General features: G+C 45.7%; 1 protein-coding gene across 1 annotated transcript in view, besides 2 other annotated features; it reads right to left on the bottom strand.

The window, feature by feature from the left end:
- Window positions 1–15,361, bottom strand: part of POLN (DNA polymerase nu) — a 170,204-nt gene that overhangs the window by 93,306 nt on the left and 61,537 nt on the right. The window contains exons 8-13 of the mRNA NM_181808.4: window positions 14,085–14,242; window positions 11,043–11,111; window positions 9,468–9,528; window positions 8,732–8,796; window positions 5,875–5,958; window positions 5,456–5,551 (exon numbers count right to left, since the gene is read on the bottom strand). Of these exons, the coding sequence (NP_861524.2) occupies window positions 5,456–5,551; window positions 5,875–5,958; window positions 8,732–8,796; window positions 9,468–9,528; window positions 11,043–11,111; window positions 14,085–14,242 (533 nt within the window). The remainder of the gene's footprint in view (window positions 1–5,455; window positions 5,552–5,874; window positions 5,959–8,731; window positions 8,797–9,467; window positions 9,529–11,042; window positions 11,112–14,084; window positions 14,243–15,361) is intronic.
- Window positions 2,486–2,545: a silencer, noted in NCBI's record as "silent region_15156". NCBI's record gives its function as "represses an Ori minimal core promoter by ATAC-STARR-seq in GM12878 lymphoblastoid cells {active_cell/tissue: GM12878}" and the evidence as "EXISTENCE:reporter gene assay evidence [ECO:0000049][PMID:35858748]".
- Window positions 8,222–9,421: an enhancer, noted in NCBI's record as "BRD4-independent group 4 enhancer chr4:2175172-2176371 (GRCh37/hg19 assembly coordinates)". NCBI's record gives its function as "activates an origin of replication core promoter dependent on BRD2, P300/CBP, MED14 and CDK7 cofactors, and independent of BRD4, by STARR-seq in HCT116 cells {active_cell/tissue: HCT116}" and the evidence as "EXISTENCE:reporter gene assay evidence [ECO:0000049][PMID:35650434]".

Raw genomic sequence — 15,361 nt, forward strand, 5'->3', positions numbered from 1 at the left:
CAATGGAATATTATTCACTGCTGAAAAGAAATGAACTATCAGGCTGTGAAAAGACATGGAAGAAACTTAAGTGCCTACCACTAAGTGAAATAAGTCAATCCGAAAAGGCTACATACTGTGATTCCAATTTTATAACATTCTGGAAAAGGCAAAACTGTGGAAACAGTAAAAAGCACAGTGGCTGTCAGGGGCTGGTGGGAGGGAGGGAGGAATAGGCAGAGCACAGGATTTTTAGGGCAGTGGCGCTGCTCTGTATGATGCTGTAATGGTAGATGTATGTCATCATACATTTGTCTAAACCTACAGAATGTCTAACACCAAGAGTGAACCCTACACCCAAGAGCAGTCCAAGAGTATATTGTGTAACTACGGACTCTGGGCGATAACGATGTATCAGTGTGGGTTCACTGACTGTAACGATGGTACCATTCTGTCGAGGATGTTGATAGAGGGGGAGCCTGTACATGTGTGTACAGAACAGCGAGTACAGAACAGGGAGTATGGGAACTCTCTGTACTTTCTGCTCAATTTTACTGTGAACCTAAAACTAAAAAATAGTCTTTTTTTTTTTGAGACAGTGTCTCACTCTGTTGCACAGAATGGAGGGCAGTGGTATAATCACTGCTCAGTGCAGCCTTGAACTACTGAGCTCAAGTGATCCTGCCACCTCAGCCTCACGAATAGCTGGGACTACCAGTGTGCACCACCATACCTGGCTAATTTTTAAATTTTTTGTAGAGAAATGGTCTCACTATGTTGCCCAGGCTGGTCTTGAACTCCTGGCCTCAAGTGATCCTCCTGCCTCAGCCTCCCAACGTGCTGGGATTATAGGTGTGAGCCACCATACATGGCCATTAAAGTCTATTTTTAAAAAATCTAAGATCATAGTTGCTCCCTTACTTAAACAATTCCAAGGCTACCCATTTTTCTAAAAATCTACATTCCTCCCCATGGCCTACAAAGCACAGCAGAATTGGGTCCTTGTTCACCTCAACCCCATCCCTCCCATTCTTCTCAGTCACAAGGCTCCAGCCTCAGCCCCTGAGCAGCCTGAGCCTTTTCCCATTGCAAGGCCTTGTTCTTATTCCTTGCATAGGCACTTCCTGATCTTCGAGCTTCAGCTTACACATAACTCCTTAGCGTTCTCTCTGGACCACTCAGTCTGGAGTGTGTCACTCTCCCTGTTATTACCTTAATGGCTCTTATCCTGCTGGATGGTTCTTATAATATCTAATTTTAGGTGTCAACTTGACTGGGTTATGAGATAATGAGACAGCTGGTAAAGCATTATTTCCGGGTGTGTCTGTGCGAGTGTTTCCAGAGGAGGCTGGCATGTGGGTTGGTGGACTGAGCAGGGAAGACCTGCGTCAATGTGGGCAGGGACTATCCAATCAGCTAGGGGCCCAGTTAGAATGAAAAACAGAGGAAAGGTGAATTCACTCACTCTTCTGGATCTGGGACACCCTTCTCCTACCTTTGGACACCAGAATTCCAGACTCTCCCGTGTTTGGACTCTAGTACACACACTGGCGACACTCAGCCTTGGACTCAGAGTTACACCGTCAGCTTCCCTGTCCCAAGGCTTTCAGGCTTGGACTGAGCCACACTATCAGCTTCCCTGGGTCTCCAGCTTGAAGAAGGCCTATCGTGGGACTTCACAGCACCCCCAACTGCGTGAACCAATGTCCCTAACAAATCCCCTCTCATATACCTATTATCTGTATCTATATCTGCATATATCCTACCGGTTCTATTTCTCTAGAGAACCCTGTTACAGTTCCTCGCTGGAATAGATATTCCATGATGATAAAGACCTTTTCCCCACTAAACCATCAACGGTGTCTAACACAGAGCCAGGGCCACAATAGTGTTTGCTGAATAAAACAGGAAGGGCATCTGTCCTGCTCACGGCTGTATCCCACATACTGGATGCCCAGCAGTGGGTCAGTGCACACACATGACCTGGAGACCCCATCACTTCAGTTAGTCAAGGGGTCGCAGAAGCAACTCCCAGAAATGATGAGTGGCTGGTCCAGGAATCCTGACCCCAAGGCTGGACCATCTTCCCAGAGTTTGAACTCCTTATGATGTTCTGAGAACATGTGACTTCACTGCAGAAAAAAAACACCAAAGCTTCCTTCAGTTCGTTAGGGAGGGACCCTTGTTTCCCACTCATCATGTGCCTGCTGAGGGGAGGGAATTCCCACTATACCCCAGCAGGAGTGAGTGGACCAGCTAGGTACCACAGGACTCTAAACTACACTGCACAGGTACAAGGGGACATGTGTTCTTCAGCCCACGAGGAGCATCTGAGAACCCTGAGGTGAGTGTCAAAGAACTGACATTGCATAGACTGTGTTCTCTTATCACACTTCATTTAATTTAGAAATCAAGGCCAGGCATGGTGACTCATGCCTGTAATCCTAGCACTTTGGGAGGCCGAGGTGGGCAGGTCACCTGAGGTCAGGAGTTTGAGACCAGCCTGGCCAACATGGGGAAACACCATCTCTACTGAAAGTACAAAAATTAGCTGGGTGTGGTGGCAGGTGCATATAGTCCCAGCTACTCAGGAGGCTGAGGCAGGAGAATCGCTTGAACCTGGAAGGGGGAGGTTGCAGTGAGCTGAGATTACATCACTGCACTCCAGCCTGGGTGACAAGAGCAAGACTCTGTCTCAAAAAAAATTTTTTTTTTAGAAATCAATAACAAAAACTATCTGGGAATCCCCCACACATTTGGAAATGTTAAGACACACTTCCAGACAACTCGATGGTCAAAGAATTATAACAGAAATGAGAAAATATGTAGAGTCAAACAATGAGAAAAAAATAATACGTCTCAAAACTTGAAGGGTTCATTAGTGACTTCTTGAGCATCCACTATGTCCCAGGCATTGTACTAAGCACTGGGAACATCCCAGGAACAAAAGAAAAGTCATGCACTGTTAGGGCTACATGTAGTTGGGGGAGCTGAGCAGCAGCAAATGTGTGTGTGACACAGGGGATACCATCAGCTGGTTTCCCCGACATCAAACATGGATTCATGGAGGAAAAGGGCAGGGAGGGGACAGGCGCTGGGGTGAGAGGAGCCACAACGCTCACCAAGGCCTCCAGGAAGGGGAAAGGGAGGATGGAGAGAAGTCATGAGAAGAAATCTGAATCTTGAATTTGGCCACATACCTGGCACAAGCCAATCTTTTCACATGCATGAATGAGCAACTTGACTTCCTCAGTTAAATCAAAGAGTGAGGCTAATATGATTTATGCTCATCATGTCTTTATGGGAGAAAAATGAGCTCCTCGTGAAAGCTGTTGTCTTAACAAGAGAGCACATCGGCACCAGAAGAGAGTGATGCGTCCTTTCTTGCACTGTTGGTTGTCTGGAGAGGGAAGGGAGTTGCAAAGGGAAGGGCAACAGTGCCAGCTGGTGCCAGGACAGAGGTGAGCTCAGGTGCAGGTGCGGGATGCTCCCTGCTGGAGCTCTGGGGCATGCTGCCCATGTCCACTGTGTGGTGTTGAGACCCAAGCCTTAGTCTCCACAGCAAGACAGATGCTGCTTCCAGGAACCATCTTATATGACCCAGTGCTCCACGAACACACCACAGATGCTGAGTTCAGCACCAGGAGCTGGTTTGGTTCTGGGAACAAACTGAAGTCTTTGATCTGCACAACCTACATTCTAATGGAAAAGCAAACACACACCTAAGATAAACTTTAGGTAGTGGTGAGTTGTGTGCAGAAAATAACTCAAGGTGAAGAAACAGCTGTGACTTGGGGCCTTACTGTAGTCTGGGTGACCAGAGGTCTCCTGAACACAATGTTTAAGCTGACAATCAGAAGCAAGCAGGAAAAATTTGTGGCACGAGTCTGGGGACAGAGAAGGAGCTGGCGCACAGAGCTGCAGGCAGCTCAGCAGGCGCTGGAGTGGGGGGAGAGAGGAGGTGCCGGGCCAGGAAGGCACAGCCAGAGCACGGGCCTGGGGATACGCTCTGCAGCTCAGATTTGATGCTAAGTGCAATAGAAGCTACTGGAAGTCCTAGGGCAGTAACGTGACTTTTCCAATGCTTTTAAAGGATCACTCTAGGTGTGAAGGATGAGCAGCAGGGGCAAGAATGGTTGGAGGGATCTAAGTGAGAAAGGTCTATGGTAGAGACGGGGGAATGGGGAAAAGGAGGCATGCTCAGGACCTATTTTGTGGGTAGAGACCTTGACACTCACTGTGAGAGGAGGCGGAAGGAAAGTCAAGGACGACTCACAGGACTTTTCTCAGAATGGCCGATGCTTACTGGTCTTTTGAGAGCTTTTACGTCTGGCACGGTCCTAAGTGCTGTTTCACACAGACACATGGACACACACACACGCACACACACTGAAGCCTTACAAGATTCCAGTAGGGAAAGTACTATTATTATTTTTCTTTTATAGATCAGGAAACTGAGGCACAGAGCAGTCGAGCAATGTTTTCATGTTGTCCAAACCATGCTGGCCAGTGATGGCTGACCCCACTGCCCTTGTTCTTACTTACTACTCTGTACTGGCTCCCAAGGACCTGGAAGGAGGACGGGCCCTTCACTAAGGTGGAGAAAGCTTGAAGAAGAAGAGGATTTGGAAGAGGGCAGTTTCAAGTCCCTCCAGTGGAGCATCCTCTGTGGGAGTCCATTATTCACCCAGTAACTGTCCATTAAACCAGCAAAGGCCAAGTGCAGGCACAGTCAACGAGCTCAGGCTCCTTGAGGGCCTGTACTCTAAGACACCCTCACAGGGCGGAGACTGGAGGAACGTGGTGCTGGAGAGGGAATAGGGCCAGAGGAGACATCTTAGAAGGAAACCTTCCTCTGTTACAAAGTCGAATGCTGGACAGAGCACAGAAAGCACAAACTGGAGCCTCAGAAGCTGGTTCTCACCACAGTAACCAATATTCACAATAACATGAATTCACTTATTTACTGACTTCCACTCTGTGTCTTTTCAGTAAAAGCACTCACTGTCTTCTGAATATCGATCTATACTCTCCCACTCCAACACAGCACAATCTCACTACTCCTTGTCTTCAAAAAAAATTGATTCCTCTCAAGAGAGGGGTAGGTAAAATTCTCTAAAATAAATCTGAGGAAAGGAGAAGACTGATGACCCGTTTCTAGTTCCTCTTGGGGACACGAAGCAAAGAGGTTGTGACTGGATTGTCAAGAAATTGGTTTTAAGAACAAAACTCCACCAAATTATGCTTTTCAGGAAGTCAAGCCAATTAACTGCTTCTGCAAAAGTGTACTGTCTGCCTCTCTCCCTTGGTCCATAGCGAGAAAAGCAACCTTGGTGTGGGGAGCCCCTCTTCTGCAGAAACTGCTGCCAGCATGAGGGGACGGCCTGAGAGTCTCGGGTGGGTCTGAAGGTCAGCACACATGTGGTGCAGACATGCTGTCATTCTAAAAAGAAAAAGGATAACTCTGAAACCTTACCACTGCTTCTGATGTAGACGGGTATTTCTGCAACCCCGTTCTGGGGAGACTGTTCCTTTGACTCAGCAGGTGCAGCTTTAACTTGCCAAAGAGGATCTTCAACAAAACAAATTAAACATGGTGAGGGAATCTCACATTTGAGAGAAACAGAACATTACTATAGCAGAGCCCATGCCAACAGCCAGAGAAGACACACCCAAACAGACATTACAACATGCTTAAATTCTCATTTAGTACTTTTCTACAAGTTAAAGGCTTTGAAGTAATGAATCTCAATGTGTTCATTACTTGTGAGAGAACATGAAAAACTTACTTTTCAGATAGTTGACATAAAATAATACTTATAAATTCAAAATAAATCTCCCTTTAACTCCTGAATAAGAAATACATTTTATGAAAGAACCAAAATTCAGCTTTACCTCTCGAAGCTGGTTATTGCTCGTTATAAGAAACCGTTCTCCTGCAACAAAATGAGCTTCTTGCTCCAATTCCTTGAGACGAGCCTGAAAATATGATACACACAATTAATTTCATTCATAGTTTTCACAATTTAAGATTGTTTAATTTGTTCATCAAACAATTCTCAACAGCGAGATGGGCACGGTGGCTTATGCCTGTGATACCAGCCCTTTGGGAGGCTGAGGCAGGAGGATCACTTGAGACCAGGAGTTTGAGACCAGCCTGGGCAACATAGTGCGACCCCACCACTAAAAAAAAAAAAAAAAAAAAAAAATTAGCCAGGCATGGTGGTACACACCTGTGGTCCTAGCTGCTTGGGAGGCTGAGGTGGGAGGATTGTATGAACCCGAGGGTTCAAGGTTGCAGTGAGTTATAACTGTGCCATTGCACTGCAGCCTGTGTGACAGTGAGACACTGTCTCAACAAACAAACACATACACACAAAATTCCCAAAGAAAGCTCTTAAAAGAGTAATAAATAACCTATAATTTATCAAAATAAGCATAAAAATACACACTTTGGCCAGGCACGGTGGTTCACACCGGTGATCCCAGCACTTTGGGAGGCCGAGGCAGGTGGGTGTCTTGAGCCCAGGAGTTTGAGCCCAGCCTGGGCAACATAGTGAGACCTCATCTCTACAAAAAAATAAAAATAAAAATAAACATATTTTGCCTCATGGTGAAATACCTAGGCTCATAGAAGCATCCTCCCCCAAAGGTAAGAAAACAAACTTAAAGTAGTAAAAATAATGGGAAAGAAAGAATCAATTCTCCAACAATATTAAGACTAGAAAAGGGATCCAACATCACATAGAACAAGACAGAGGTAGAAAGTATAGGAAACAGGCTTGTATCCAGAATACATCAGGATATCCTATACATCAGTAAGAAAAAATATAAAAATGGGCAAAAGACTTGAGCAGATCCTTTACAAAAAGAAATTCCTAAAAGCTAATGATGCTATGAAAAGCTAATCGATCCCACTAATGTGAAATGTGACATACAAAAATGATATCACTCTGGTCCAGAGCTCTAAAGTAGAGTCAGGGAGCCATTCTAAGGACTGCCTGCATGACCTGAAATGCTGAAAAACAAAAACAAAAACAAAAAACAGGAACTTGAATTGAACCTCTGAACTGGGCTCAACTGCAATGACCACAACATCCTGGAAAACAGCTAGATTTTGCCAGTGCTGCACCTTCTGAAGAGCGACAACCAATGAGCTCAACGGACTCATGTACTAAGCCAACCGCCTCCAACAATGATAATTCTTTCACAACAACTGTGTATTCGCCCTTAGCTTCCTTTTAAAAATCTCAACTCCCCTTCCTCTCTTCAGAACACTTATTGGCCTTTAGCTGAACCTGTGTCTCCTGAATTGCAGTTTCTAAGACCCCAGGAATGCCTTGTCTAACTGCTTTGCAGTCTGCTCTTTCACCTCTTCTTGGTTGACATTAGTAATCAGGAAAATAGAAACAAAACTCATAATGAGATATCATTATAGCCTCACCAAAATGGCTACAATGTAAAAGTCTGATGCACCCAGGGGAAGTGAGGATGTGCAAGAATGGGATCCCGTATGCATTCTCATGGGTGAGACTCTGGGAAGCCATTGGGCATTATTGAATAAAACTAAGCAACAGCTTCCCTGTGTCCCAGCAGCACTAGTCACCTCACAGCCCACAGAAACCTGTGCCCACAGGCACAGGGAATGCACTCAGAGGTACAGCGTGGTTTGTAACGACTGCCACTTGGAAACAACCACACGCCTATCGGCAGTGGGACAGAGACACCAAGGGCAGCACAGTCCACAGCGGGAAACTCCACAGCACTGAGTGACACACAGAAACACAGGTGGAGCTGAGATGTAGAAGGCTGGGTAAAAGGCCACACGTAAGTCACTGTTTACTTACAGTTCAAAAGCAAAGCTAAACTACATTGCTTAGGCTTTGAAGTGGGAAAGCTAGAAAGAAAAGCAACGATGAAAAGGCTACAAAAGTCAGGGTTGCAGTTACTTTTGGCAGCAAGAAAGGGGTTCTGATAGGGAAAGCACACAGGACTCTGGAAAGTCTGTGCTTTGAACCAGGTGATGGTTATATTGGGGTTTCCTTTAAACATTTTATTTTAAAGATGCTCCTGGCATGTGCTTTAGCCTTTTTAAAAATTTGTGCAGATGTATGAGGTACATGAGAAAATGTATTACGTGTATATAATGTGTGGTGGTCACGTCAGGGTATTCAGAGCACCCATCATTCAAGTTCAATACCTTTTTGTTAAGTACAGTCATCCTACGCTGCTATCAAACACTGAATTTATTTCTTTTATTTTACTGTATGTTTGCACCCTTTAGCCTGCTTCTCTTCATCTTTGCCCCGCCCCGCCACTGCTCACCCTTCCCAGTCTCTGTGTCTATTTTCCCACTCTCCACCTACATGTGTTTTCTTAAGAAAACTGAAGTAGAGCATTTTTAAGTATTTTTTCATGCATCTTTACACATCTCTGTATTTTTGTTTTTCAAGAAACCCAAGAATTCCTTCACCAAACTACAGGGGACAATGTCCCTGTAAGAAAAACGTAACTTTTGAGGAGGATCCTGAGGAGCCATTAAAGAACTCCCCGGACACACACGCACTAGATGCTGTTTAGGTCTTTTCAATGCTTGGTTCTCCCCTGCAGGCGTCAGAAAGAGGGAGAAACACTGTCAACACCAAACAAGGAAGAGAAGAAAAGGAGAATCTACTCTAGACCTGCCACTGGGAACAACTATCTCATGCAGGAAAGAGATGGCCAGTACAAACCATCTGGAATAATAACTTACCCCAAGAAGTGCTGACGTCTTCTCCATCTCCTCTTTGTTCACCTGAATGGCATGGCTTTCCATCACTGTGATTCGAAACCCAAACCAGATCATATTTGCATTAATGTATTCTTTTTACTAAAGACTAAAATGCTTCGCTCCCTGATGAGGACAATAATGACTGCAACTGCCATTTACTCAGCACCTGCTGCATGCCAACCTCTGCACAGGATCTGTCAGGATCCCTGTGTCATACAGGCAAATGGGCGCATTGACAGAGCTGGCCTTTGAGGTGGGAGTGGGCGAGGGGACCGCACTGGCCAGCCTGGCCCTTCCCACACTGTGAATGCCCCCTGGCTGACGTGGTGCCCATCAGGACCTGCGGTCAAAGGCAAAGGCAGAAGAGAGCCCTGCATCAGTTCTTGCAGGAAGGTTCTCAAGGTTATAAGGACAGCAAACCAGAATGAGAGACAACCACTAACACATAAAACATCTAGAGAAGCCTACTCCTCCTTGGCCAGGCAGCACAGAAGGGATCCCATATGACCAAGATGTCAGAACCTCGAGTCTTTCCACACCAAGAGGGAATGCAGTCCAACCCCTCACTACAGAAAGGGAAAATAATAGGCTTGCTACCTCTCTGGTGCCCATGAGATATACTATCTACTCCTAAGTAAGGTATGGAGAAATGTTCATCCCAAACAATATGAAGAACCCTCTAGAAAAATGGCTGTACTTCATCTTTATGGTAACTTACCTGCCAAAATTGGTATCAGAGGAAGCTCCAAAGTACGAAATAGTTGCCATAAACCATAATCCTGTTTAATAGGAAGAAATAACATCAACGTCAATTTAAATATTATTGTATCTGCATTTTGTTGAAAAGCCTACTTTTTTTTTTTTTTTTGAGACAGAGTCTTGCTCTGCTGCCCAGGTTGGAGTGCAGTGGCGTGATCTCAGCGCACTGCAACCTCCACCTCCAGGGTTCAAGTGATTCTCCTGTCTCAGCCTCTTGAGTAGGTAGGACTACAGGCACCCCCCACCATGCCAGGCTAATTTTAAAAATTTTTAGTAGAGACGGAGTTTCGCCATGTAGGCCAGGCTGGTTTTGAACTCCTGACCTCAAGTGATCTGCCCACCTTGGCCTCCCGAAGTGCTGGGATTACAGGCATGAGCCACCGCACCCAACCAAAAAGCCTAAATTTTGTCGAGCTAGAATTAAGGTGACCCCTATCATGGGCATGGCTGGTCTCCCACCCAACCTCGACTCCTCTTACTTGCTCTTCCTAATGAACTCTTATTTCCCTTAAGTAGGCTATTTTATTACCAAGATCTAGTAGAGATAGTTAGAAATATAGATAGGTTCAAGTCAAACATTGGAAGTGGAAAAAAAGAAATAAAAAGAAATTCTGATAGGCCAAGCCCCATCCTCAATTTTCTTCACTCTTTTTCATTTTTAAGATTGATTTAAGCATTTGTGGACTTTTAGTCTACCATTTTAATTTCAGAATAGGCTTACTGAATTCCCAAAATTTACCAATAATTCTCATTGATTTTTCACTGCCACTATGGATTAATTTGAGGAACATTAGAATCTTTATTCCAGGCCACCTCCCCTGAGAGCATGGAATCTCTATTTATCCGGGCCTTCCTGTGTTCTTCATGAGTCTCATTGTTTTTAGTTTTCCTGCTGCCATTAGAGAGTCCCAGGCTCCATCCTCCAACTCTTGCCCTCATGTTCTCTCCTGCCCCTCCAGACCCATTCTCTGCCCTGCCCTTGCCCATAAGGCGGGGCAGGCTCCTCCAGGTCACATCACCCGGGCCACTCCTCTGCTCTCAGATGGGGCATAGGGGGCAGGAGGGAGGGAAACAGGCTGAGCTACTGCCTGTCCCTGGAGCTTTCTCCTTCTGGCTGGTTCCCTTTGCCCTCCCTGGCCTCTGGACACAGTCCCTCCACTCAGCTCTTCTTGGTGGCTCATTGCAGTGGCTGTCTGCTTCCCAGGAAGACTCTGGTTGAGTGAAGCTATGTCCATCCCACTATTAATCAAAATCAATGCTCAGCTTTTACATTAACTATGGCATTGGAAACATCCCACTTAAAAAAGAGGCTTTAAAAAATATTACAATTGTTTTCAACCTACAGAAAGCATTTTTAAAACTTCAGTTCTTATCATTCTAGACAACCCTTTTCTGAGTAATGCACAGGTTAATTTGTTCTTAGAACTCAACGTTTCGTTTCCTTCACATTCAAACTCCCTGGGAGTGCGGGTGCCAATGAAAAGACATCTCTTGTGAGCCTCTGTCAGCCAGAAATTATAATAAAATGCCTTGCCTTCAGTTTAGAGCAAAGGTCCATTGTAAGTCTGTAGAGTGTCTTCAGGTTCTCACGTACATTCTGATTCTTTAAAAGAGCAAAAGTATTTTTAAAAATCAGATAAACTTGGTGGCAGTGCTCACCACAGTCTGTAACTGACATGACTTGAAAAATGTTTCCTAGTAAAATCCCATGAGGTTTTCAATGGCAGATGTCATGTACGTGGTAGTATCACCAAACACCTCGACTAGACAAGTTCGCATCTGTAGAAAGTGCTTCTACTGCGCAAGTGCAAGCTATCCATAGCTGGACACTTCCTCCCAACCGAGGGTATTTCTTCATTTTATAGACTGAGAAACAGAACCACAAAGAAGCTTAATGTCTCAGGTACAATGATTAAATGGTAGCAGGGAGAGGAGAATGCAGACCTGGCCTCTCTGGAGTCCACAGCTCCATTCTCTCAGCCTTACCACCTTGCACCCACGCACAGCTGCTGCCACGTTCCACACTTACCCCTCCATTCTCACCCCAGGAGATGCACACAGAGGCCCTGGGAGATGACAAACAAGGGTCTGTGTTCAGCTGACAAAGAGGGAGATGGGATGAGATGTGTCCCTCAATACAGAGTCTAATTACCCTTCCCCTAACCTGGAGTGCCAGGACCTCTTCAACACCCCATTCTGCCAAACAAATCCCCCACCTCCAGCCCACTCAGACCCAATTTTCTGCTGAAGGCCTGAGATTAGAGTGAACATCCCATGGGACCAGTGGCTAAGTGCACACACCTTGGCATTGTTTTCTAGTCATCTTGCTTGTGGCTCTCCTGTGAATGTTGGGAGAACATCCTACAGAAGAGTCCCTCCATGTCAAGTTCTTGACTGCCACCTGGCAGAATTCTACCTGGCTGCCTGCAGGAGCCTTCCACACCCCAAAACTGACCATGTGACTCCTAGTTTGAATACCCCCAGGACAGGCCCAGCTCCCTGGTATGGCACAGCTGCACGAGGAGCCCCTAAATCTTCTCTGGCTCCCCACAGCCATGCCTCCTTCTCCCCAGGTTGGTCTTGCTGTCCTCCATAGAGGCACCATGTTCTCTGAGAGTCTTACCATATCCCTGCTGCTCCCTCTACCTGGAACTCTCTTCCATTTATCTGAACAATTCATGCCACCTCTTTGGAGAGAATGGTGTAACCTGTGATCTGTAGATTAATGATTAATGGCTGGACTTCCATCTCCCACCCTCATCCATGCCCTGCATGGCTCAACTACAGAGACATATCTGGCTGATGAGACATAAACAGAACTGCATCTGAGGCTGCCTCTTTTCTGCCTCGAGTGTGGATGAGTTGAACCCTGGCCTCAATTTGACCCTGGGCAAGGCACATGTACGTTAACCTTTCTATACCTCAGTTTTCTCATCTGTAAACTGGGACTGATAATTCTGAGATGGACAACTCCTTCTTTCTAATATCTCAGCTTCTGTTTGGAGAAGTCTCCCTGCCTGACGGCATGAAGTGTGGGTAGGGATACTAATCAAGATGCCTGGCCTCCCTGGTGGGGTGTAGACACATGGTACAAGGAGGGAAAGAAAACACTCTCCAAGTGCTGAAACTTTGACTTTTGGACAGAGAAAAAGTCATGGCTCAGTGCTGCCACCAAGCCTACCAGTTCCAGCTCCCTGGGACTCAGGGCTGCGTGGCTCCTGTTCTTCCCAAGGCCTGGTACTGCCTTTCCTCTGATTCTGTGGGCTACCCCATATCCTTCTGATAAATCTCTTTTTATATTAAGGGAGAGTGCATTTCTGCAACTTATAACCCCAAAACCCTATTGTTACAAATCTTCACATCACAGATGATCTGTGAGGATGAAGTACATGAGGCAAATATCCCCAGCTCAGTGCCTGGTGCCTGACACGGGCTCATATCACCTCTTACCCCCAGCTCAGTGCCCAGTGCCCAGCATGGGCTCTCATCACCTCTTATCCCCAGCTCAGTGCCCAGCACACAGCTTGGGCTCACATCACCTCTTACCCCCAGCTCAGTGCCCAGTACATGGCGTGGGCTCACATCACCACTTGCTTTGCTGTGATTGCTTGAGCTAGCTCAGTAGCCTGTGTGTTCTTCCAGCAGTGATTTTACCATGTAACTGTTCACTGACAGCTAACTAGAAAGCCTGAACAGGGTGGCCCCAACTGTGGCCACATTGCCACCACTAGACACCTCTCCTCTGGGGCCTGCTGAGAAGTCTCTCTCTCTGGGTTCTAGGCACAGTTCTAGAAGGTGTGAGTGCCTTTGTTTTCCAGATGGTGCTTCCTGATAACTAGGGGTATCTCTAGCAGGCGAAGGCCTGGAGAGAGGCCCAAGACAGTTTTTTTTTTTTTTTGAGACAGAGTCTCACTCTGTCACTCAGGCTGGAGTTCAGTGGCACAATCTTGGCTTACTGCAACCTCTGCCTCCCAGGTTCAAGCAATTCTCCTGCCTCAGCCTCCTGAGTAGCTGGAACTACAGGCACCTGCCACCATGATTGGCTAATTTTTATATTTTTAGTAGAGACAGGGTTTCACCAGGTTGGCTAGGTTGGTCTTGAACTCCTGGCCTCGAGTGATCGGCCCACCTTAGCCTCCCAAAGTGCTGTGATTACAGGCATGAGCTGCTGCACCCAGCCCGAGACCCAGGGCAGTTCTGACCATTCTCTCCACACAGACTGAAGAGTAGCCATCCCAGGACCTCTGGCACTGTGGCCACGTCACCAGCCCTAAGGATTTATCAATGAGTGGCATTCTGTTCATGGAGCAGGTGACACTGACATCAGAGAGTCATCTGGAAGAGTCACACTATGGACAGATTTCCTAGGAACAGGTGCCATAGAAGAACAGCCATCACCTATCCTTATTCAACATCCTCCACCAGAAATGCCAAGGTCACAACTATTTGTGCTGAATAAGTGAAAATGAATGTTGACAATGTTCTTTTTACTATTAGGCTATCAATAAAATAGAAAAAGCTTCCAGAAAAAATAGGATGTATTAAGGTTGATAAAACTTTATCTTAAACAACTCACCACAATATTTCTTGAGGAATTTCCATATGTGCTGTTCACTTTAACTGTAATGGATTTTTCACAGTATTTTTCTACTAAATCTTCAAAAGAGGGTGTGGCATCACTAGGATCTATAAGCCATGCAGCAATTCTGGGATCTAGCCCTATAAAATCAGCAACTGAAGAGAAAAAGGTCATTCAGTCATCCCAAGAAAAACCAATAGTTGTTTTTCCTGCTTTGACAAAGTTCTTAAGTTCAAACGAATAGTAGTAGTATTGTCATCCTCTCAAATTATAGACCTAAGGACCAAAGTGACTTTCCATTATTCTCCAGAATTTAGAACCCTTGATAAGGCAGCCTCGATGAACCCAAGTCCCACATGGCCCGTCTCTGTGGGTGTCACATTAAAGAGGCAGATTTCAAGTAGCCATAAAGGAGGGACTCCAAGCTCACTTGCAATTTGGATCTCTCAAAAACATGTTAAAAGCTGTCGAAGTCAGAGTCGTGGGTCATGCTACCTGCCTCCCCTCCTCCTTGCTCCTCTTTCCCTCAGGCATCCTCTCTGCCAAGTCCTGCCCTCCTCCAGCCTGTCACTGGGCTGTCTGGCACCATGGAGTCTGGAATCCAAGCCTCTCGAGCAAAAGGAAGAAGGGCGGGAGTTGCCTGAGCACACACGACACCCTCGTCACTGAGTGTTGAACAGGTAGTGTGTGCAAGGCAAAGATACTTTGGCATTCTCCCTGAAGTGTGGAAAATCTACAAGACAACTAATGTGTGGCGCTTTGGTACTGTGGAAGGAACACCAGGCCTGGATTCTGAATCACCCTCTGAGCCTGGGAGGCCACCTCGCCCCTTCAGTGTTAGTTTCTTCATCCAAAAACTGGGGGGAAAGATTACTGTAATTATGTGTGATATACATGAGAAAATGCTTTTTAAAAAGTAAATACAATATTTGCTAAACAAACAAGTTTTTATACCAGAACACTTTAGACATGAAGGGAGAGTCATAAAAGGCTGGGGAGGTGGGGCGGGCTAGAAATCAATAGACAAACTAAATCCTAAAGTGACTGCTTTTTAAGTTACTTTAAAATTTTGAATTGTGCCATACAAAAGTAAGGAGTTTGCCTTTAAATAAAACTATAGTCTTAGATCATATCACATTAAATATTATATGTTCAGGCATCTTTAAATTATACCAGTCTAAGAGATTTATATTTACCAAAGCAGCCAGTATTATGACTTTCTCATTTGATATCTAGGAAGGCTCTTACAGTAGCACATTTGGAGCTCTGGATAA

This window comes from Homo sapiens, chromosome 4 (assembly GCF_000001405.40).
Source record: "Homo sapiens chromosome 4, GRCh38.p14 Primary Assembly".
Classification (NCBI taxonomy): domain Eukaryota; kingdom Metazoa; phylum Chordata; class Mammalia; order Primates; family Hominidae; genus Homo; species Homo sapiens.